This window comes from Homo sapiens, chromosome 10, assembly GCF_000001405.40.
Source record: "Homo sapiens chromosome 10, GRCh38.p14 Primary Assembly".
Lineage (NCBI taxonomy): Eukaryota > Metazoa > Chordata > Mammalia > Primates > Hominidae > Homo > Homo sapiens.
Genome location: NC_000010.11, coordinates 129307712 through 129310710, shown reverse-complemented (window position 1 = coordinate 129310710; position 2999 = coordinate 129307712). Strand labels below are relative to the sequence as shown.

Sequence of the window (2999 nt, the reverse complement as noted above, 5' to 3'; positions counted from 1 at the left end):
ATTAACTTTTCACAAAAAGTTATTTGTTTCCTCTGGAAGCCCAGCGAGTGAGCTTTGGGGGATTAGGGATACATTTCACCTACAGGTTACATGAGCTTTTGTTATTTGTTTTCATACAAAATAAACCACAAAGCTCTTGCTAATGTACAATTGTGGAGAGTTTTGGTGGGAATATTTCAAAAGTAGTGTGTATTTTCCCTTGATTACTTCCCCAGATCCTTAGGGATTCAATCCAATAGTGGTGTACTCCCTTAGGAAAATATGTTTCATTTATAAACTTTTTTCCCCTATGTAATGAAAACAGTTTTGGCTTAGCACACTGTTCTGGTCAAATTATGTGGCCAAATTCTGCGGAAATGATGAGGGGGCGACACACAGACAAAGCAGCCCCTGGGCACCGAGAGGCTCTGGGCTCCGAGAAGCTTGTGGGTGTGGGGAAGATGACTCCCGTGCAGACTTTTCACCCTGCGGGGCGGTTCCACGTTATACCAATATTTAAATGGTTGAGTATTTCAGATTGAGCGTACAACGTATAAAGATACATAAAGTTGCAATGAGCAGAGCCTAATAGCTTTTTTAGACTCTAGAGAGATACAAAAAGACACAAATATAGATAAATGATCAAAAAGGAATAATTGCTCTAACAGCCCTTTCCCTTGCAGTATTTAACATATATTCCGTTTGCTCCCGGTACACGTGGTTCTAGAATGTAAAAAGTAATTGCATTTTCCATTCTTCTTCCCTCTTCAATATACAAGCACCTCTAGAAACCTACTTGTAGAATATTATGTAGGTTTCTCTGCTTCATTTAGCTCCTTTTCTCTTAGGAAAACACATTATGACTTTGTACAAGCCTTGATCGATTTCTTAAGAGGCCTTATCTGATTGCTTTTATATTCTATTGATTTTTCTGAATTAAGTTTTATGGCCCTCAATTATTTTCTTGTATGATTGTTCACATCTACGTATGGTGTACCATATAATTACACAGTGGCATGATTATGTTCTAGTTGATAATCCCATTTTAATATACAGCACTTTCCCTTTTTATGGAGATTATCTTCCATATGCAGACCGATCTGTTGAATTCCGTGCAATGAAGATAAACCCAAATCGCAGAAGCACTTGCTCACTGTAGAGGCCACTATCACGCATTGTGACATCTTGACAAAAGCGTTTATTGCAAAGTGTTGTGATCATCAGCTTCATTAGGAAAGCGTTTAACAATCATAGGAGATGATTTTTATAAACCTGCTGTTCTGCTGACTGGGGGATACCACTACCACAGCACAATTAAGTTTCAAATGGGTTTTGAACACTGATGGCTAATATAATTCAGCCCTAGCAGTAGACTGTTGCATTATACAATCATTTATCATTTGAGGGGAAATTCTGACAGTGCTCAAACGTTGAGGCCTCGATTAAACTGTCTCCTTTTACATAGTCTTCTGAAAACAAGCAAGGGCTCCTTCAGGTGATGTCTGAAGAAGAAGTTAAGACAAAAACAATTGGTTGAAGAGAAGTTTAATCAATTTATTAGACGAGTTGAGTGCTCGAAGATATTTTTCTTATGTAGTACATGTCTATCAAAGCTGTCATAAGTGACACTGCAAATGTCGGAATGCTTTATGGCAAATAGATCGCTGCTATTGTTCTAGGCGTTTGGAATCTTTTATGAATATAAATGTATGGAGAGAGCATCACAGGATCTGTTTGCCCTCCTAAAATAATTCATATTCTATACAGCACATGGCTGACTGATTTCCTCCCAACATTACAAAGTGGTTGTGTTATTTCATATTGCTGAAATTTGTATTATTATTTTTTACATAAGAGAAGTCTTTTGATCTGCATTTATTAAGGAGAAAGAGATGCCCAAGCTTAACCCAATCTGACATAAATGCTGCAATATGTTCATTTTCTTCCACTACAAATTCAATACATTCATATTCAGAATCCTTTATCTAATAGTGCTTATTAGATTGTTTTGGCTACAGCTGCAAAGCAATATATCACTGAAAAATAATAGGTATGTCTTTTTCAGACGATGATGTGATTTGCTTTAGCTACGCTAGCATGAAAATCTGTGCCATTTATTAATAAAAGACTATGTTAGATGAACTAACCTGCTTGACAGTCTTGAGAACAAAAGAGCTAATTTCTCTTTTGTTTGTTAGAACACTTCGGTGCTATAATAGGGTTACAAAGGGTCAGAGAGTGCTGAGGCTCAGAACTGCTTCCTGCTTAATGATTTGTTTTACAGCATCTAATAAATTTTCAAACATGCATCAACATATTACTGATAAAGAATCTGGAAATGCAAACACAGATGATTTCTAGTTTAAGATGTGATCAAATTTTTATTATTGAGTCAATAGTCCAATCCTTTTTTTTTTTTTTTAATTTTTAACAAGCGAGGCTGTAGGGGGATGGTGTGCAGAAGATCCTACATGAAGTCCAGGGCCTCTGGAAGTTTCCAGCTTGCTGTTTGTAGCGAAACAGTCCTAGGTTAATGGTTGCATGAATTTTTCAGTCACTGTTCAAATATCTAAGAAGCCACATATACAATGATATATAATACTATTACTTTCCAGACCGAAAAAAAAATACAGGTTCTATTTCTTTTAAGTAGGGGGGATCTTTATAAAGAGACTTTTTTTTTTCTTGAGCAGCAGAAGTCACATGGATGTCCCACAATGAGACATCTGTACAAGGTGTTCTAGGTTTGTCACTGCTCAGCACGTACAGATGTGTCCTGTCTATGGAGCCACAGCCGGGGTGGTGGTTGAGGAGGCCTCATGGTGGGGCAAACCCAGGACCCAGAGTAGCCCCGGGATGTTCACTCCTGAAATTATTATTACTTCTTTAAGAAAGTCTCCACTGATTCAACACTTTCATGATGGCTTTTCCTGGCTGCGTGCATGGTGGGGACTTAAAGATTGCTGTGTCAGGGAGCACAACCACCTTCTCTCTCTCACCAGAGCCACTCTAGCTGCTCC

At 38.0% G+C, this 2999-nt stretch overlaps 1 annotated feature.

Moving 5' to 3' along the window:
- Positions 233-2453: an enhancer, noted in NCBI's record as "VISTA enhancer hs562". NCBI's record gives its function as "enhancer in: hindbrain (rhombencephalon)[5/5]" and the evidence as "EXISTENCE:transgenic organism evidence [ECO:0001131][PMID:17130149]".